General features: G+C 35.6%; 1 protein-coding gene across 30 annotated transcripts in view; it reads right to left on the reverse strand.

Moving 5' to 3' along the window:
• PIAS2 (protein inhibitor of activated STAT 2) overlaps positions 1-22,801 on the reverse strand; it is a 116,928-nt gene that overhangs the window by 16,340 nt on the left and 77,787 nt on the right. For 24 of the 30 annotated variants that reach the window (NR_136684.2, NR_148702.2, NR_148700.2 and 21 more), the window contains 4 exons: positions 16,800-16,960; positions 10,177-10,310; positions 8,402-8,573; positions 1,376-1,515 (listed from right to left, as the gene is read on the reverse strand). Coding sequence is in view for 23 of the 30 variants with exons in the window: in NM_004671.5 (NP_004662.2) it covers positions 1,376-1,515; positions 8,402-8,573; positions 10,177-10,310; positions 16,800-16,960 (607 nt within the window). In the remaining 7 variants the exon portion in view is untranslated. Of the gene's footprint in view, positions 1-1,375; positions 1,516-3,728; positions 8,574-10,176; positions 10,311-16,685; positions 16,961-22,801 lie in introns of those variants that run through there. The other 6 variants (NM_001324058.2, NM_001354037.2, NM_001324059.2 and 3 more) reach the window with 2 other exon arrangements.

Consider the following 22,801-nt stretch of genomic DNA (forward strand, 5'->3'; position numbering starts at 1 on the left):
GCCAATTATCAATTGTTTCAGTAACATAAACTTTCACCAACAGGATAAGCATTGTGCTTAAAATAAAGACCTCACTAAGGGGAGAAAAAAAATAAATCATAGGTCAAAATTAACTTCATAAACCTAGAGAAGAAAACTAGTAACAGGAGGAGAGAATTGTATTCCACTAAAAGGGCCTTCGGAGAGAAGGGAAGTCATGAATGTACTGGTTCTAACTTGCTCAAATATAATTGACAGAAATGTCTGCAAAAGCAATAGCTATGGAGAGGGAAGAAGAGTAAAGGAGGGAAGTTTAAATTTTGTAATATGGCCTTGGTTGCAGAAGTCCTGATACTAAGGTAATTCTAGCAACCTTAATATTTTACAGTAGATTCCCCCTTATCCAAGATTTTGCGTTCTGTGATTGCAGTTACCTGTGGTCAACTGCAGTCAGAAAATATCACATGGAAAATTCCAGAAATAATTCATAAGTTTTAAATTACACACTATTCTGAATAGTCTGATGAAATCTCATGCTGTCCTGGCTCCATCATGCTCCATCCCACCCAGGACATGAACCATTCTTTTGTCCAGTGGCTCCCAGCTTTGTCACTCAGTAGCCATTTAAGTTAACAGATTAACTATCTCAGTACACAGTGCTTCTGTTCAAGTAACCGTTATTTTAACTTAATAATGGCACCAAAGTGATGCCAGCATATTGTTATAATTGTTCTATTTTATTATTAGTTATTGCTGTTCATCTCTTACTATGCCTAATTTAAAAATTCAACTTTATCATGAGTATATCTGTATAGAAAAGAACAGTATATAGGGTTCTGTAATATCTGTGGTTTCAGACATTTACTGGGGGTCCTGGAACTTATCCCCCGTGGATAAGGGGAAAGTACTGTACATATAAAAGATATCCCAAGTATTAAGCCCCACTCTAGGGAAACAGATGGTAGACTCTATCTTTGTAAGGAGAATAAAATCCACAGCTTGTAGGAAAAATCAGCCCCAAACAACATCAATATATTCTGAAGTTCTGATGAGCTACCAAGAAGAGTATGAGAAAATATTCTCCCTTCACCTGTGAGGTTCTATAATAAAGAAACCAAGAAGAAGTCTCTAAGTACAAATTCTTCAAAAGGAAGAATAAAATCTCTAACATTTCCTATTCTACTATATTTCTTATCACCAGGAATCTATAGATTGCTCTGTAGTTAAAATAACAACTGGATGTGATGTATAAAAACAGATAAGACCTTTACCCGAAGCTTTCAAATTTCCTTAGCACCTCTACTGAAAATTTCAAAACTATACTGGCTTCACAGATTAAGATTAAAAAAAATAAACTTTCATTAAAAAACAAAAGAAACAAAAACACTCCACATACCTGGCAAATCTGATGACATGCTTGATATTGGCGTATGGTGGAATGGTACTGAGTAGTCTGTTAATGAAGGCGGAATAGCAGCAGGATCAACCGAAGTCACACTGGGCACCCTTACAGAAGATGGCTGATACATGAGAACCCTGTTTTAAATAGCACGGGAAATTACAAACAATCTGGCTGTTAGTTCACAGGAGAGAAGAGCTGCACCACTGGGCATTCTCAGTCGTTCGTTCACCAGTTTCAGCACAACTATATGGCAGCTACTCACTACACAGCACTCCACTCTACTCTCCTCTCCCATAATAGTCTTCATTTTAACATGAACATATCTTGGCTCTCAACAGCAGCTGCGACATAAGAGCAAGTTGACATTCAAACACAATGTACAGTGCTGGAGTGAGATATAACACTTCCATCCACAAATAGAAATAGACATCACTTTTATTAATATGTATGTAATATGTATATGGGTATCAGTAATTTTATCTATAAAGAAATTTAAAACTAACATAGAAGATCCCTAAGGTTTGATTTAAATCAGGGAACCTTGAGAAGTGAAGCTACTCACTGTAGCACAATCCAAATTTCTTCAAGTCTAACTCGAATTGTATTAATTATTTGCAATCTTTCCTGGGAATCATCTGAGCAAAATTACCCAATCTTAAAGCCGACCAACTTGATGGCAATAGGCCACAATCAGAAACGAGGATGAGTGTTCAGGATTTAAAATATAATATCCAGAAATAAAAATGCTGGCTACCATGATAGCACCTACCAGGTAGGTGAAATCCTAAGAGAGTTTATGATTTTAAAATTAGCTGTTCATGCTACCAAAAATACAAATTAAACATATGTAATAAATACTTCACAATTGGTATTATATAAAACTGTATATACACTATAGAATTACTTTATAATTTCAAGAAGCAGTATAATTAAACATACTTTTGAAAAAGTTCAAGCTTAAACAGAGATTTTTTTTGCATTCTTCCTATTTAACCTGCATTTTCTCTTAGCCCAGGGTAAACAACTACAACTTCACAAGAAAGACATCCTTGAATGTATGTAGGAAACTGAGCACTGTTACTGGTCTTATGGTTGATGGTGGGAACCATGGTCACAAAGCTAGACTGGGATAACCTCTGGGCATCCTTTCCCTTTCCTGTTATTGCTGATTATTAAATATCAGTAATGAGAAATGATGACAAATTGCATGACATTCTTTGTACTCTGGAAAACTATTTCATAACCTCAATTTAAATGTCAAACCACTTAAATATGGATATCAATACAAATGTGGAAAACAGTCATCTTGAGAGTACATACATTGTTGAGTTGGCAACTATGTTAGTCTCAGAAAAGTGAATAAATAACACAGGTCAGAGTTCAGAAATCTTTGATCAAAAACTGATCCATTTAGGAAGCTTATGACATATAATATGCTTGAGGCAATAACATAAGCCTGGTATTTGAAAATACATTTTCCCGAGGTAGATAAAGACAGAAGGAAGTTATCTTCCAAAAATCAACCACATGTCTGTAGGTTAGAATCTGGAGATTTCTTGGCCTCCAGTGCTACTCGAAGACCTAAAACCACAAGCAGTATGTGAGCAATGTTAGAAAAGGCAGACTCTGGAGGAAAAAGAGAAGTTGGGAGGAGATAAAATAAGTTATATTGTATCTAAAGCTCATCTTTTCTGGAGGTTTGAAAACAGTGGTCCTCCACAGGGATCAAACGAACAGGACATCATCAAAAGTTTTTCAAATAACATGAGACCACCTCTCACACACAAGAGTTTATATGAGAAACTGGAGGAAGGACACAGTGGGTAAGGAGGAGAGAGAGACTGGGGTATACGTGAGTGCTGGGGAGGGGACTAAAGAAGTGGTCTGATTATTCTGGCTGTCTCAAAGTATTAATATCTTATTGTTTTAAAAATGTTAACAGGCAGGCTTTTGAAGACCAAATATATATATAAAGTTTCATTTAATTTAAAAAGTTTCTACTTAAGAGTACATTTAGAGCCAGGCAAGGTGGTTCACACCTGTAATCTCAGGTCTTTGGGAGGCCAAGGCAGGAGGATTGCTTGAGCTGGAAGTTTGAGACCAGACTACGGAACATAGGGAGACCTTGTATCTACAAAAAAAAAAAAAAAGCCACATATGCTGAAGTATGCCTAAGGTCCTAGCTACTTGGGAGGCTGAGGCTGAGACTGCTTGAGTCCAGGAGGTAGAGGCTGCAGTGAGCCATGAATGCTCCACTGCACTCTAGCCTAGACAACAAAGCAAGACCTCGTCTCAAAAAAAAGTACATTTAACCTATCGTGTTTTTTTTTTCTCTGCCACTGAAAGAAACTAAAAGACTTTCTGGTACAAGAAAAAGCTAATGAATGTCTTTTTCCCACTCCCCCTTCTCTTCCTTTGCTATTTCACACTGGAGATTTTCTTTTGTTTTGATCCTGATTGCCCTTTCAACTTGAAATAGACTTACACGTAACAACAATAACAGAGCTCCCTTTCCTTCCCTGACCCTTTGACTTACATCTATAAAAGGAGTCAAGTGAATGTACCTACACACCTGTCTGTCACTACAGTAACACCTAATAACTGTACGTGTCCTGTCACTTAGTAACATGAAACTTTAAATGAGTAAATAGCTACTCCTTACTTAGGCAACACCAAAAGGTTGACTGTCAAAACATGTGAAATGTGAAAATCCAATGGCGGTACAAATTAGTAAATCAACATCTAAAACCTCAGCAAACATATGAAAAGCTAAACTACTTAGTGTTGGTTAATTCCCATTACCTGAATGTTGCAACCATTAATACAAATTCAACTTTACATAGAATGGCTTAAAGTAGTCATTAGTTAGGATTATCAAATTACATACTGGGAGCAGGCTTTTGTTATCAAAATCTTCACAAAGACCACATTCAGAAACAAAATGATTCTAAAGCCTATGCAAAAAATAGATATGAGTAACAGATTCCATGAAAAAATGTAAATGGCTATGGATGGTGAAATGATGGATGTAAAAATGTGATGCTATATGTTAATAAAAAGATTTAAAGCTTTTAAAACTTGTTACTGCCTCTTCATAGGATTGGTAAACACACACAGATACGTGTATACATTATGCAAGTGACCATTTATATTTTAAACGTTTGTAACTTTATCCATAATATCACAGCACAAAAGTGAATTGCTAGAATGCTGCTATATAGCAAATATTAGTATTCCGGATTATATGCTGGATCAGAGAATTGCATGAAACTCACATTTGCTCAGACTTGGATGTCTGAAAATAGGTTGACCATTTCTATTTATAACCCTGAAGTTCACTGTATGCTCCCACTTTATGATCATAAAAGTATAAAAAAGATGCAATTTTGCTACCAATTCTTAATGATTATCAATCTGGAGACATATAGATTTATCCTTATTATGTTTCCTGTCTTTAGAATACCTTCTTATTAAGGCAAAGCAACCACTCATTTTTCAGAAGGGGCACAATATGTAAAATTATCTTTTAATATGGAAAAACATCAGAGGTTTTCTAAATGTCTTAAGATTAACATACAAGTTTCTTCTGACAGGTATTATAAGACTGCATTTAAAGACTCCGGTTCGTAAGCAAAGAAAGGGAATAGGACTGCCATCAAAATGGCAATGATTCTCTCTAGGTGAGATATTTTTTGCTTTCTTCTTGGTGCTTTGTAAAATTGTTTATAAGAATAATTTTTACTAAAATAATAATACCTCTTAAAAGATAGTTGCTCACAGGCCAGGCGTGGTGGCTTATGCATTTTGTAATCCTAGCACTTTGGCAGGCCAAGACAGGTGGATGGCTTGAGCTCAGGAGTTCGAGACCAGCCTGTGCAACATGGTAAAACCCCATGTTTACAAAAAAAAAAAAAACACAAAAAAATTAGCTGGGGGTGGTAGTTCCAGCTACTTGGAGGGCTGAGGCAGGAGGATCGCTTCAACCCAGGAGGTCAAGACTGCAGTGAGCCGCGATCACACCACGGCATTCTAGCCTGGGTCACAAACTGAGACCCTGTCTCAAAAAATTAAAAAAAAAAAAAAATAGTTGCTCACATAATTTCGGGGCTGTAAATTAGAGTAAGTTTTCCTGATTTCTCATTCTCTGTTCTTTCTCATTTGCTTACTATCTTTGATGGCCAAGAAATCCTATGATAAACTTACACAGCACAGGAAAACCATAAAAACTCTAGATGCTGAACTACAAGAAAGGATATGAAAAGGACAACCAAGAACAAAGTCACAAAAGTCTAAGAGTAGGAGGGGATCACAGAGATGATATAACTATAGCATGAGCCTCCACTATGACACTGTGACAGGTGGCAGCCACTCTAACACAGAAAATATGATTTTGGGACAAAAGATTAAATTTCCTAGTATTCAGAAAGCTCCAATAGAAAGTTTATCCATGTATCTTTAGTCCACTGGACCTAAATCTGGTAATAAAGAACAAACTTAATCCAGCTAGTCATTGTCTCCCTTTTAAGAACTACAAGGTGGGTATCAAATAATCTCTTCTCCTGGTTTAACAGCTTCAGTCCTTAAGATCCACTCATCCATCTTGCTCCAGATTCCACTATTCACCTTCCCGTTCCCCTGCTCTGGCCATACTCATTTGTTAATACCATTCTTGATGATCAGCACTGACTGAAATGCTCTGAGAGTCATATAGCCTAAAATGGAACAAAACTGGCATGGTATGGATCCTGGACACTATGCTTATTTTATTAATGCTAAGAACAAACTGATTTCAGTGGTGAACTCTTCAAACCATTAACTGAAACCTGACATTTGAAAGAGTTTCTATCAGAAATGGCAATTAATTTACTGAAGGCCTTTCCAACATCCATGAAGATGACTACAAAGTTGTCCTTATGACGAGATCCATCTTATCAATGTATTTCCTAATATTAAAGCACTCCTGGGATAAACTCTAGTTGGTCACAGATGTCATTTTAATATATAATTAAATGATTTCCTAAGACTGAATTCAGAATTTTCATTTATCTTTCTATGTGAGTCTGTTTCTTAAGAGTTCTTCCGTGTATTAATGTGTATGTATGTCTAGGTTGGGTGTTAAGGGCTACATCAGCTTCATGGAACGAACTAGGTAGCTGCGCTTTATACAGACTTTTAAAATAAACTTTCATGTGTTGCTGGTTTAGTCACAAATTTCTATCTTATACTTACCAATGTTAGTTTTTGTTTTCTTTTCAGCCTAAATGAGGAACCTTAACATTTATCTCTATAGTAGCTGATCACAGATGTAAACTATCCTTATTCCTCTGCATACTGAGGTCATTTCAGATTTTGTCGCCCACTGTGTATGTGCCATCCCTCCTGTTTCATGGACTTATCAAACACAGATAAAAATGTAGTAAAGGACAGAGGGTAGACCCTTGTGGCATGCCACCAGAGACATGCTCCAAGATCACAACAACTCATGAGTCAGCATCACTAGGCATGACCTCTCAACCTGGCATGAATTCAGCCAACTGCAGTACTTGCAACTCATGTTTTTCCACTATATTCTAAAGCGTATCATTACAGAGTAAAATCCAGAAACATCACATCTAAGCATTCATTCCCCTTCAAAATACATTTTGAACGTAACCATTTCAAAATTATAACTTCATTTTCTGTTTATCATTTAAATTACAGATGTACCAACCAATTTGTCTCAAAGGAGCAATAAATGATTGGCACACCAGGAAAAAATCCACTTGAAATACTTCCTCATTTTGTTCCACACACACAAAAACCCCACCTCATTCTAATTAAATGGGTAGAAGTAAATATATGCCTTTAATATATGTGTAAATTATATTTGGAAATGTAAGTATTTTAACAGCAAAGAAGGCAGCTGAAAAGGTTTAATTCTTAAAATTATAAAAATAAACAATGTTGCAAAACAAGACATTTTATATAAAATGTCTAAACAGGCATTATAGACACAAAAAAACGATTGCCTAGATTTGGGGTGTAAATAGGAATAAACTACAAAAGAACATGAAGAAAGTTTTTTGGGTGTTGAAAATATTCTACTACTGAATCATGGTGATGATTGCACAGCTCTATGTATTTACTAAAATCACTGAATTGTGCCATTATATACTTAAGATGGGTACATTTTATGCTATGTAAATTATAACTCAGTAAAGCCATTAGAAAACCAAGTGGACCAAGAGGCCAAAAAGATGACACTAGCAAACCCAAGTTTGAAAGAATGTGTTCGTAGACAGCCAGGAGAACTCTCCTGTTATCTCCTTTTATGGTTCAAAACCTCTCTGAAAAAGCAACTATTGTTAAATACCCAAACCTGATTTTTAATGCAGGTCAGTAATGCCTTCTGCCAGATAACTTACAGAGAATCCACGCTAAAATTCAGGTAGAATGCCATCCTACCCACCTATATTTTGCCCTGGAGAGGGTGAAAAGGGAAAGGAATCAATTTTTATTGGGAAATTACCACATGCCTGACACCGAGGCTTTCTTTCATCTCATTAAAACCTGAAAATGATCCTGTAATATAGGCGTTATTTAGCTCCATTTAACAGAACACAAAAAAGAGGCTCAATCAAATTAAGTATTTCATCTAAGATCACAGAACAAGTAAGCGATGGTGTGCCAAAATTGGAATCCATACTTGTCAGATTCCCAGTTCCACACTCCATTACACCAGACTTTCTCATCTGGTCTGAGATGCCAAATTTCCTTACAAACAGGTTCAAGAAAATAACAAAAAGTCTCAGGTAGGAAATAAATACCTCACACGCTCACTTTCCAAAGATGTAAATATTTTCTCCATCAAAATTTGCTTCCTATAAACAATGTGCTTACTCGAAAATATTTCAACTCAACAAAGGCAAATTAAAATAGCCTTCTACAGTTATGCCATTTCCCAAAGAGACATTTATAAATCTATCCAAGAGCAATTAGTTGCAAGGGTAATGAACAATAGTGAACTATAAATTAACAAACCCTTTGGTTGGGCTGCTTTGTGTTTCTGACATAAAGATGCATTTCCTTTTGGCAGGAGGGTCTTCCTCTTCGTCAGAAGAGCTTTCTATTGTAAGATCAATAACATCTACTTTCTTCTTGCTTGCCTCACTGGCTACAGTCACTGAACAAGGCTTACTGAGGACGCTTGAACCTGCATGTAAAGAAACAAAAGGAAAAAAAAATTAAAGGTATAACACAAATAAACTCTAGTGGTAGAGTCTAGTATATTCAGTATAGTATGTTCCTGACAACATATAGCCAGTGAAGCCACATACTCCAACCCATGGACAAATACCAACTCCCTAACTCCAGACCTCTGTCTGTAAAATGGTTGTTCACCTAGGGAGACAGGTGAGCACTATTCCTTGACAGATGGTTAGAAGTCTCATTCAGACAGAATGTTCTTAGTTATGCCTCCAATACCACTGAAGGATTTGTGCAGCTCCTACTGCTCATCCTGTCTCTGCAGGTCAGCAGTCGTTTTACAGAAAGACACGCAGAGTTAGGGAACTGGTCTCAGGTCATGGGACAAGAATGGGTGAGTTCAACAGCTATGTATTCTCGCACACATGTGGCACAGTTAGCTCAGAACCAGATATTTCCATTCTAGCAATTATGCTTATATCAAAGAAAGTACAGACTTTTCACCATAAGCCAGAACTTGATAAAAACTTTCATCTTGATAAGTTGAAAAAAACCCAAACCTCTCAATTAAGTTACTAAGACATTTAAACTTTTCTTATGAATTATCTGCTAATCACGTAGGTTCTTTCTACCCACAAAGACAGTCTCACATACCATATTTGTTAACTCACATTTTCACAGAAAAGTATGTTATTATCTGTAATGTATTTAGTTAAAAATGAATGACAGTTGATAATGGAAAAGCAACAGAAACTTATCAACTAAATCACTCCCCATTTTTCTGAAAGATGAGAGAAACCTTGGTCACTGCACTCAGGTTTAGTGTCAATCGCAGAGGAATAATTAATAATGGCATAAATCCTTTATTTTTTCCCCTTTCTTCTTACTCCATTCATTACATTGTTTGTTAGAACTTCAAATGTAATCAGAACAAAACTGAAATGCAGTGAGTAGACTGTTAGATAAAAAGAAACTCTAAGTTCACGTGTGGGTTTCAATGAGACTGTTAGATAAAAAGAAACTCTAAGTTCACCTGTGCGTTTCAATTACTCCAAATGCCCTCAGTTTCCCTACTTAGTGTGGATGGATGCAGGCAGTTGATGGATGAGTATACATTCTAGGTAATCAAGGCAATGTTAAAATTCTTCTCCACAAAGAAATGGAAGGTAACAATTTGTTTACTTTCTGAGCAACTAACCTGTGACCATCCCCAAACCACCAAGGCCATTAACCAATGATGCAGCCTCTCTAACCTCACCTCCACCTAGGGTTCCACCTACAGATACTCTAAGAACAATTCTGAAAAACTGTCCATATAAATTCATTTGTGACTTTTTGTTTTGTAACAAACATCATATTTTAAAATGATTTTAGATGAATGTTTCCTTTATTCTACACAGGAAAAATATACTATGAAATAGCTGATAAGATGGTATAAACTTTAGCACATTCCTTCAGGAAAGAATAAAAATCATTTGGGGGAAAACTATATATCATCAAAAGACTGAGTCAACAAGCTGAATTCCAAACGTATAGTTCTAGGGGCCAAGATTAATGATAATGTTGCACGAGTCTCACTGCTTTACTCTCTGCTGCTATTCTACACATACTTTCTATTTTTGTACACGGTTGGCTGGATACTTTCATAGCTTCTTTCTTCGGTCTCATTGGACACCAAGAACCATCTTCTTGGAATTTGATCTCATCTACATCAGAACAGTCATTGAGAATTTCCATAAAAAGCCTAAAAAACAATTAAGAAGTACATACATGTGATCAACAGCTTTGCCTAAAGGTGAAATAAGAAAGTAATACACATTACCTTGAAAACATAAGTAATGTTAGCTGACCCCCTTTTCTTTTGGTATTGCAATACTTTATACTTTACAACAATTATTACACTCCCTTTGTCCTATGTTTTAAATCTGTAACAGGCAACATAATAGTTAAGTAACTTACTGAGCATCACCTGTGTAACTCAATGAGTATAAATGGCTAGAGAGAAGTAGATACCTGGAGCCTCCTAGCTGAGGCTGGCAGTAAGAACAACCTCTAACACAGCACAAAAAACAAACATCAGCAGATAAAGGTTACTATATAGTAAAATAATTTATAAACTTTAACTTCGAGAAAAAAGGATAATGGGGTAGGGGAAGGAGGGAAGAAAAGGGAAATAAAAGAAGTCTCAATAAATTTAAAATAAGTGTATTTGAATTAAGTTCAAATTAAGTCCGTACCAGAAAAACCTGAAAACTTGGAAACTAAACAAAAGAAACATGAGTCAAAGATAAAAATAAGATTTTAAACTGAATGAAAATAAAAATGTAATAAAATTTGTGGACTGTATTATTTAAACACTGAAGTAGTATTTAAAGGAAAATTTATAGCATTAATCTTCCCTAATTAGAAATAAAGTCTCAAATCAGTAACTTTATGAAACTAGAAAAAAAAGCAAATTATAGTAAAAGCAAGAAAAGAGAAATAACAAAGAACAAAACAAACAAATAGAAAAAAAGAAAAACAGAAAAATCAGTTTCTAGTCAAACTTATTTACACTCACTCCAAAAGAAACAGATAATCTAAGAAGCCCTATGTCTATTAAATAAGTTGGATCTGTAGTTAAAAACTTTGCCACAAAGAAAATCCTAGGCCCAATGTCTTCTCTAGGGAATTCTACCAAATATTTGAGGAGAAATAATACCACTACTTCCAACTCATTGTACAAGGTCAGCATTACTCTGATAATAAAACCAGGCAGGCATTGCAACAAAACTAAATACCCAACATTCCCCCATGAACTCTGCAAAACAAATCCAACAACAAATATACACAGGATAACAAATCATGACCAAATGGGGTTCATTCCCACAATACAAGATTAGTTTAATATCCAAAAGTCAATCAACATAATTCACCGTATTACCAGACTAGTCAATGCAAGGCGGTGGGAAAACAAAAGGCATCCACGTTAGAAAGAAGAAGTAAAACTGTCTCTATTTAAAAAACATTACTGACTATATAGAAAATCCTATGTAATCTATAATAAAGCTACTAGAACTACTAAGGGATGGGAATAACATATGTTGATATGACAGCAATATACAAAGGTCAACTATATTTCTATATATTAGCCATAATCACAAAAATTTTTTAAATACCACAGAGATATGAAATATTTAGGAATAAACTTGACAAGAGATGTACAAGACACATTGAAAACTACAAAACACTGTTGAGACAAATAAACAGAAAGATACATCCTGTTCATAAATCAGAAGACTCAATACTCTTATGTCACCACAGACTTATCTACAGAGTCAATGAAAAACAAATCAAAATCCCAGCAGGTTTTTTCCCCTAATTGACAAGCTGATTCCAAAATCTGTATGAAAATGCAAAGAATCTACAATAGCCAAGATAATTTTGAAAAAGAAGAACAAAGTTGGAAGAGTCACACTACCTGACTTCCAGCAAATGCAGTATTGACATAACTACAGACAAATAAATCAATAGAACAGTTCAGAGATCACACATATAGTCAATTAATTTTTGTAAAAGGTGCAAAAGCAATTCAATGAGGAAAAACAAATCTTAACAAATGATGGTGCAGCAATCACATGGCCATATACCAAACAAAAACAAAACCCTTGTTCTTTATCTTACACCATACATAAAAATTAACTTGATAGAAATAATAAACCTAAGTGTAAAAGTAAATTATAAAACTTCTACAGGAAGCTCAGAAAAAATATTTGTGACCTTGAGTTAGGGAAAATGTCTTAAAATAATACCAAAAGCACAATCTTTCATAAAAGAAAAACTTGGTAAACCAGCCTTCATTCAAAGTAGACACTTCTGCTTTTTGACATACACTGTTAAAAGACTGAAAAGATAAAATGATAGAAAACATTTAAAAATCATATACCTGGTAAGACGTTTGTATCCAGAATACATAAGAACCACCAACATTCAATGACATGAAAACAAAACCCAACTAAAAAGTGGGCAAAAGGCCAGGCACGGTGGCTCATGCCTGTAATCCCAGCACTTTGGGATGCTGAGGCGGGTGGATCACGAGGTCGGGAGTTCGAGACCAGCCTGACCAACATGGTGAAACCCTGTCTCTACTAAAAATACAAAAATTAGCCAGGCGTGGTGGCGCACACCTGTAGTCCCAGCTACTTGGGAGGCTGAGGCAGGAGAATTGCTTGAACCCAGGAGGTGGAAGGTTGCGCTGAGCTGAGATCATGCCACTGCACTCCAGCCTGGGCGACAGAGCGAAACTCCATCTCAAAACAAACAAACAAACAAACAAACAAAAAAAAGTGGGCAAAAGTTTGGTCACTTCACCAAAGAAACGTACAGATGGAGAATAAATACGCAAAAAGATGCTCAAAACAATTAGTAATAAGGAAAATGCAAATAAACCCACAATGGAGTACCACTATATACCACTAGTATGATCTAAAATTAAAAAGATTAACTGGCCGGATGTGGTGACTCATGCCTGTAATCCCAGCACTTTGGGAGGCTGAGGTGGGTGGATCACCTGAGGTCAGGAGTTGGAGACCAGCCTGGCCACTATGGCGAAACCCCATCTCTACTAAAGACACAAAAAATTAGCCAAGCGTGGTGGTGGGTGCCTGTAATCCCAGCTACTGGGGAGGCTGAGGCAGGAGAATCACTTGAACCTGGGGGGTGGGGGCTGCAGTGAGCCAAGATGGTGCCATTGCACTCCAGCCTGGGCAACAGAGCAAGCCTCTGTCTCCAAAAAAAAAAAAAAAAAGAGAAGCCATACCAAATGTTAATGAGAATGAGGAGCAATCAAAACTCTCCATATACTGCTGGTGGAAATATAAAATAGTACAACCGCTTTGGAAAACAGTTTGACAGTTTCTTGCAGTTAAGCACACACCTGGCATGTGACCAGGCATTCTACTCCTAAGTATTTACCCAAGATAAATGAAAACAGTCCACACAAAGACTTGGGCATGAATGTTCACAGTAGCTGTATTTCCAACAGCCCCAAAACAGAAAAAACCCATCAACGCATGAAATGACAAACTGTGGGTTAGAATGCAACTCAGCAATAAAAATGAACTATTGGTATATGCAACATAAATGTATCTCAAACAAGTATGTTGAGTAAAAGAAGTTAGACAAAGGAAGCACATAGTTTATGATTCCATTCATATAAAAGTCTAGAAAATCCAAACTAATCTATAGAAACAGAAAGCATATCAGTGTTTGCTTGAGGACTGAGAGGGAGAGATTGAAAACATACATGAGAAAACTTTAGGTGTGATGGGTGTGTTCATTATCTTGACTGGGATAATGATTTCATAGGTATATAATAAGTCAAAATTTATCAAATTGTACATTTTACATGAGTAGTTCTTATGCCAAAAATGCCTACTTCATAAGAGGTTTATTTTTCTCAATTATACTGAAAATTCAGCATAATGTAAATCAAAACCCAAAAAGGTTCTGTGTAATTTGAGAATGCTTTTATTCAAGTGAACATGGCAGAATGTATTATGACACTAGTCAAAAAAATTCTGAAAAGAAATGGCCTAAGAAATACTACCACATAATAGAAATCTAATAATTAAAATAGTTTCGTATTGGCCCAGTAATACTTTGATCAATGGAACAAATAGCAGTTCAGAAGTTAACACTAGTATTTACAAGAAATGTATTAGATAATGCAAGTAGTATCTCAGATCTGTGGGAGAGATTATTCAAGTAAATGTGGTTGAGAATAATCTGGGTGCTAGGGTGACATGATCCCTACCTTAATGGGATCACCTATTCCCTACTGTAAAGTTCCTTCCTCATCCCCAATTTTCCTCCCACAGTGTCATTCCTTACCTTCACAGCACTTTACACTTAATATACTTTTTTTTTTTTACCATCTCCCATACTAGAAGTGCCCTGCTCACCATTTTTAGACCTAGTATCTGACACATGATAGGTATTTAGTAAGTACTGTGTTGAATGAATTCATGAAGCAATGTATGACGGAACAACTGCACAACTGGAAAAAGGAATCACAAATGTGCCTGATGAAAACAAGCAAGTGCTCATATAAAATCTCTACAACTTTCTAAACACTTTCAAGGAAGACATTCAAAAAGGAAAAGACAAGACTTGATAAAAAAAAATGTAAACCTTCTGAATGGAGAACAAAGGTCACAATAAATACAAATAAAAGGGAAACTGGGAAAATACATTTGGCACATGTGGACAGAGAAATTAATATCCTCAATCTATAATGACTATGTATAGGCCAGTAAGAAAAAGATGAGCAAGCCCATAGCAAAATCTTTTTTAAAAAAGGAATATTAAGAGGCAATTTGTAAAAGATATTATAATGACCAATATATGGAATTAAAGAAATATCTGATAACTCCTATAATACAAAAATTAAAAATCAAAATAGCTATCTTTTCAATTAGGAAATTAGTAGACATTTTTATTTGTTGTTCCATTTTGTTTTGTTTACTTTTGAAACAGAGTCTTTCTCCATCACCCAGGTTGGAGTGCAATGGCATGACCATTGCTCACTGCGGCCTCAAACTCCTGGTCTCAGACAATCATCCTGCCTTGGCCTTCCAAAGTGCTGGGATGACAGGTGTGAGCCACCACACCCAAGAGTAGACATTTTTAAAGTAAGTTTTAATACGTAAGGCTGCTAAGAGGGCTGAGAAGTGGACGATGTTATGCCTGTTGGCATGAGAGTGAAATGATTTACTAGAAGGGAAAAATAGCTTACTCCTCCTGGGAGGCATCTTAATAATAAATAGTAAAAGTCTTACATTCCCTTTGAGTATTTCTATTTCTAAGAACTTGAAGAAAACTCCACAGACATACACAAAATGCCACCTTCAAAAATGCTAACATCACAGGGCAATTTTAAATTGAAAAAGTAGAAACAAATATGGAATATCAAGAATTTAGTAAACACATCACAAAATATTAATGTGCAAAGGGGCATGACATATGTAACTCTCAAATGGTTCAAAAGAATTCTAAAAATGGTAATAATCATCTCTCTCTACATTCACAAATGCACACACCAAAAATGTGTATATGCACACATATTAAGGGAGAAAGTGATAAAACAACTGTGATAGAATGTTAACAACTGAAGCATCTGGGTCATAGTTACATGGGAGGTTCTTTGTGCTAGTGTTCCAACTCCTCTGTAGGTTTAAAATTTTTTCAAAATAAGCTAAAAATAAAAATTCAGCAAAGGAAAGTTCAGAAAGGAACATTAAAGTCCCATTCACTCTTCATTCCCCATTCCTCTCCACAGATAATACTCTTGTAAAACTTTTGTTGTTTATTTTAGAGATGCAACTCACTATGTTGCCCAAGCTCACCTTGAATTCCTGGGCTCAAGTGATCCTCCCACCTCACGTTCCTGTGTAGCTAGGACTACAGGCATGTACCACAGTGCCTGGCTTAAAACATTTTCAAGTTGTACAAGTATCTTTAAAACTCTAGGATACTTTTCACTATATATTGAGTAAAAATCATATGTATATATTAATATAAATCATTACATAAAGTATCATTTCAGTCTTTTTTAATGTCAATAACAAAGTCATCACCATAGGATGGTACTGCTAATTTTATTTTCATCTTTTCAGTAACTGTATTTTCCAAATCTTACATGGTACATGGATGACGTGCAATTTTTAAAAAAGTATTATTTGAAACAAGATACTAAAAATTAGTTCATGTCATTTTCCAAATTCTGACATGCAATATAATATGAGAGATGATGCTTAAAGTTTGGACTCCAGAGTCAGAAATACCTGGGCATGAATTCCAGTTTTGAACTTAAGAGCTATGTCTGTATCTACCCTATCACTTCCTCTGGTTTTTGCATAGACCCTAATTGCTACTTCAAGAAATTCTAGGTAAGCAAAATGACATCACAAAGCAAACTTTTCCCTCTTTCCTGTGGGCTTTATAAAATATAATCTTGGAAAGCAAAAACATTGCCCTCAACGCAAATCATATTATAGAGATAAAAATGCCACTAACCACAGTTTAAAAAATAAGATTGAGTATAATTAGGTATAAGACGGAAAACATACAAACATCTGGATTTATGCTAGAGTAGAATTTATTTAGAATTTAGTTCAGTAAGTTGTAGTGAACAAAGGCATTGCCAACAGCTGTTGTATTAGTCCATATCAGCTGTTAAAAGGGATATACTTACCCATCTAATATTAGACTTTCATAGGCAGCTTTTTTGTCACACACAGGACAAATCCAGGTGGGCTTTTTCTCATTCATTTGTAGATAGAGGGCAGCATCAAAACACTGCAGATGTGTACAAGTCACTGCACGGCATGGGATTGTCAGCCTCATTTTTCCTAACTACAGGACAGGAAACACAAGGAAAACTATTTCAGAAAGGAGAATGAGCTCAGAGGGAACATGGTCAGTTGTAAAAGTCGGAAGATGTCATACAAGAAGATGATAAAAATGAAATAGAAATCCAAATCAGAATGTATTCCCAAGAAGATTACAATATATTTTTATTCATTGACTGCCCTATGATTTTTGAAAAACCATTTCACTTTTTCAAAACGGGTTAACATGTAAATCCAGATTCATATACATTGAAAGTATGACTCCTTCTTACCTGGTCCCCAGTTTCCCTATTTAGAGAACCACTGTTATCCATCTCTTGCATGTCCTTTCACAGATGTTCTAAGCATAAACCAAGTGTGTATTTAAAGAAATATTTTCCCAGGAATGATAGTATACAATACACACTGTTTTCCAACTCACTTCTGTCATATAACTTGGTGACTACTGCACACAAATCGGTATATAAAAAGCTACCATTATATGAAGGTATCATAATTTATTTAATCAGTACACTAATGACTGACATTTAAATTGTTCCCAATCTTTTATCACTACAAACAATGCTGTAATGAATATTTCTAAGATTTTTATATTTATAATATTTATAATTCCTAGAAGTATAACTTTTGGATGGAAAGAAAAGTACATTTGTAATTTTTGTCACATTAACACACTATCTTCCACAAAAAGTACCTATTGGGTTATGCATACATGTGTATTAACATGCTTTGTTCCACTCAACCTTTTCAATATAATGTTATTAAATTCTTCGGTCTCTGCCAATCTGGAAGGTGACAAATATCCCATTACAGTTGTGAACTACATTCCTCTTATTTTAAGTGGTAGTTGAGCCTCTTCTTTTACTTCTAAGAGTCACTTGTGTTTCTAAGAACTTTCTACCTATAACCTTTTCTCATTTCCCATTTGGTTATTAATCTTTTGTTATCTATTTATAGGCACTCTTTATATAAGAAATCACGTGTGTAACATGAACTGCAAATATATTTTTCATTTATGTTATTTATAGGCACTCTTTATATAAGAAATCGTGTGTAATATGAACTGCAAATATATTTTTCATTTATGAAAATTTGTTTTTATATAATCAACTGTGTCAATTTTTCAACATACTTTTGATTAACTTTAGTGCTGTTAAATTCTTATTCCAACTAGTAGTGGTCCACTGGCACCAAGACGTACACAACACTCAGATTTGATCAGACCAGGTTTTCCTACATAATCCTTCAAACCTCCCCATATATTTCCTTTACAGAAAATATCACTGTTTATAACCAGTCCTGCTATTTTGATTGAAAATTTGTTTCTCCCACTAGATCTTATGCTCCAAAAAGACGGTCTAGATCTCTGCTCACCACTGAATCCTACTGTCCTAGCACAATACTAGCTGACAGTATGTGCTCAGTATTTGTTGACCAGATAGGAGAATGAATGGACATGGACTGGAAATGGGGAAAAGAACAAACAGGAAACGAAGAAGACGGACCTATTTTTATGCTATAAAGTTTGAAAGAATTCATGGCAAAATTAAAACATTCTTAGCTCTGCCTGGGAGGCAGGCTTTTTAGGATGTTCTTTTTCTTTTGGTTCATCTGTAATTTCTAATTCCTCTAAAATGAACACCTGGTAATGTGGTAATTTAAAAAGAAAATAATTTAGCTGAATCATCAACACAGAAGTAACGTTTATATAGTTCTACCTACGTGCAAGGTACAGTGTTGACTACTACTTCACATTACTCTCAAAAACACTTTCACAATTACATAACAATTATACTAAAAGGATGGTATTATTACCATCCCCATGTTATAAATAAGGAAACTAAGGCACAAAGAAGCTAAGTAACCTAACGTTACAAAGTTAGAAAATGGCAGAGCAGGTCTGACCTGGGAAGCTCCAGCCCTGCAGAGTCCACTCTCTCACTGCTATACTGCCTCTATCTAAGTGTCTAACCAGAGTTCTAAAAGGGAGCCTCGAAATTACTGTGATTCGATCAAGGTATGTGGCACGATATAACTCATCACTTAGAACAGAAAAAGGTCAGAATAAAACCTGGGGCAGCTTCTCTTCTTATGATACATCTTTCTATATTTTTCCTGCCTTTAAAAACAAATTATTTCTTAAACAGAATCTTACAGTATGCCCAAGGCTTTTATATAAATCTCATAAAATCTTCATAACTCTATGACTCCAGAAAAGCTGGTATCTACATTTCTATTTCTGAAATGAAGATGCTGAGGCTACAAGAGGTTAAAACCACACACTCACTGAGACACAGCTGATGGAGCTATATCACAAATCCAAATGGTCCTCACATCCCAGAGACATGCCAGTTTTATAACATTACAAATGGTGTTAGTTTTTTAATTTAATTACCCACCTTTTCCTCCTTTGCTAAGTTTTTGTTCTATTAAAAATGAACGTTGACTAAATACCTATTCAGCACCCAATGAGATAACCGGTTTTTTATATCCTTTCAATTATAAAATGAATAATTTTAATAGATTTTCATATTATCCTTTTTAAAAATCACATGTTATTCTTTTTAAGTAGTACCAACATAAATATTGGCTGGTTATTTAGAAATTTTCCACCAATGTAAGTGAGTTGGCTTTTTTACACAATCACTGTGTGGAAACAACTCAATCACTAAACTTATTATTAAATTACACTATACCTATTCAACAAAATGCCCACAATGATTAAAATAAGACCAATCTACACATACTAATATACTTAAGATACACTGTTAATTAAAAAACAGCAAGCCATAGGACAGTATATATACTTTCCAATAAACATACATATAATTATATAGAGAATTAAATCTGGAAAAATCTATCATGCTACTAGTAATGTTACTTCTGAATAACAGACCTTGTGAATTTAAAATGATCATTTTTACTTTTTGGTTCTATTTGAATAATCTATAAGTACCTATTTGTCAATTTTTATAATTTTTTCTTTAAAATAACGTTCTAACTCAGCCTACCACGGTTTTTACAGTTATCAGTTCTCATTTGGTTTCAAAACCCCTTTAAACTCTTAAAGATTAAGACCTAGGCCAGGCACGGTGGCTCCCAGCACTTTGGGAGGCCGAGGAGGGTGGATCACCTGAGGTCAGGAGTTCGACACCAGCCCAGCCAACATGGTGAAACCCAATCTCTACTAAAAATACAAAAATTAGCTGGGTGTGGTGGTGGGCACCTGTAATCCCAGCTACTCGGGAGACTGAGGCAGGAGAATCACTTGAACCTGGGAGGCAGAGGTTGCAGTAAGCCGAGATCATACCACTGCACTCCAGCCTGGGCGACAAGAGCAAAACTCTGTCAAAAAAAAAAAAAAAAAGGCCGGGCACAGTGGCTCACACGTGTAATCCCAGCATTTTGGGAAGCCGAGGCGGGGGAATCACGAGGTCAAAAGCTCGAGACCAGCCTGACCAACATGGTGAAACCCCGTCTCTACTAAGAATATAAAAATTAGCCGAGCATGATGGCAGGTGCCTGTAATCCCAACTACTTGGGAGGCTGAGGCAGGAGAATTGCTTAAACCAAGGAGGCGGAAGTTGCAGTGAGCTGAGATCGTGCCACTGCACTTCAGCCTGGATGACAGAGCAAGACTCTATCTCAAAAAGAAAGAAAAAGAAAAAAAAAATTAAGACCTCAAAGACATTTTATGTATGTGGGCTATAGTTATCAATATTTGTATATTAGAAATTAAAACATATTTTTAAAAGACAAGAGTACACAAGCACACATTCCATTAGCCATCAGAGCAATGACATCATCATCATCTATTGGGTAACCCACGTTAAACATCACTTTATGCTCCTAAGAGAAAAAGAACACAAAATGCCAAAATTGTGTGTCCATATTATTATAAAAAGTTTTAACTTTGTAGTTCTTTTCAAAGAGTGTCAGGGACCTTCAGGTATCCATGGGCCACATTTTGCAAACTGCTGTTTAGGGATTGTTTTTGTCGTTTTCTTCTATGCTGTTTCCATCTCTCCTGTCACAGCCTTAAAATTTCCACAGCATACAGAAACGAGAATATCCAGGACTATAAAAGTTGCTGACCCTAAATTTAATTCTACTCTAGTGGTCTTATAAGAACTAATGAGCATTTCCTAAGAAGGAATTTGTTACCAGCTAGCAAAATTTTATCAATTGCCTAGTGACTATGGCATGTTATTAAAAAGGACCTGAATGTGCCACCAAAATAAATTCTAATTCTAATTTAATCAGATGATGATGCTTTTTTGAAATTTATTATTTTTATGAATGGTTATCTAAGTAATGCAACACTTTTTTCCTATAAAATGTTAAGCTGGCATTATCCAAATTCTATTCACTGTAGACTAATTACTACCAATCTAAATTAAGAGAGTTTTTAAGTTGAAAAGGCCCAAAATGGTGGTTTCCAACTCTTTTCAGCAGGACTTTTTTTTTTTTTTTAAACATACTAGAATCTCAAGAGATAAAATCAAACCTAGCTTTCTTTCTTTCTTTTTCTCTCCCCCAGCTACCCAGTCCACCTCTGCAGGACAGACTGAAAATCACTAGCTGAAATCACCAAAGTGAAACTCCTATGTAAAATTCAGATATGGTGTTCAGAAATATAATTATGCACACTCAATTAGATCCTCTTCAGTAACTACTGTGACATTACCTTCCTTTAGTCCCAAGGACAGAGGTTTTAGAATTTGCTCCCACTTTTCAGACTCACGTCCACTGCAAATCACTTTACGAAAATACTGTGAAATGTAATAAACATTTATTCTATCACCCTACACTATCATTTTCTCTTGTTTTTGCCAAATAACCCAGGGTTCACTTCTTATTTAAGTGCCTGGGATTTATTTTTTTCCTTCTCCGTTTCCCATTACTGCACCAGATCCCATGTTATTTCCATTGTTAGCTGGCTGGACTCCATTCTGCTTTCTCCAACTGATAATAGGACTTACTCTTTCTCAAACACTGCTTTCATCATCTAACTTCTGTCATCCATCCACCAAATCTAATCAAAACACCTGTGTCTGGTATTCTAATTAATATATACCACATATTACAGTTTAGCTACCCAACTTTATGTTAACACTACTACTATAGCCCAAAGAGTAGCATTCATTCTTTTCTTAGAAAGTGCTCTGAAAAGATTGATGAACCCCCAGGAAAAGCTCAAAAGACAGTCTCACGAATAGACCTGTTGTCACTTCTGAGCAGAGAGAAAAAAACATTTCAGAAACTTAAAACAAGATTTCAAAAACCTATTTGATCTGTTACTTCATTTCTTCAAGTAACTGAAAAGTTAATTTTCTTAAAAATTGGTAATGTTTGGAAGGAACTGCTCCCTATTCTTACATAGAAGGAATCCTAACCTCTCTGATACACTACTTTCACTATTATTGAAAGTTTGGCTAGGTGAGATGGCTCATGCCTGTAATCCCATTATTTTGGGAGGCCAAGATGGGCAGATCACTTGAGGTCAGAAGTTTGAGATCAGCCTGGGCAACATGGCGAAAGATCTCTACAAAAGACACCAAAATTAGCCAGGTGTGGTGGCGTGTGGCGGTAGTCCCTGCTACTCAGGAGGCTGAGATGGGAAGATCACTTGAACCCAGGAGGTTGAAGCTGCAGTGAGCTGTGTTCATGCTACTGCATTCCAGCATGGGCAACAGAGAGAGACCCTGTCTCAAAAAAAATTTAAAATAAATTAAAAAAAAAAAAAAGGATATGTTATGAATGCAAAAAAAAAAAAAAAAATTTAAAAAGCCTGAGAATCTGTTAGTATGTTTGGCCATTGTATTTTGTTTTGGTTGCTCTCATG

The sequence above is a fragment of the Homo sapiens genome, chromosome 18 (genome assembly GCF_000001405.40).
Source record: "Homo sapiens chromosome 18, GRCh38.p14 Primary Assembly".
NCBI classification, from domain to species: domain Eukaryota; kingdom Metazoa; phylum Chordata; class Mammalia; order Primates; family Hominidae; genus Homo; species Homo sapiens.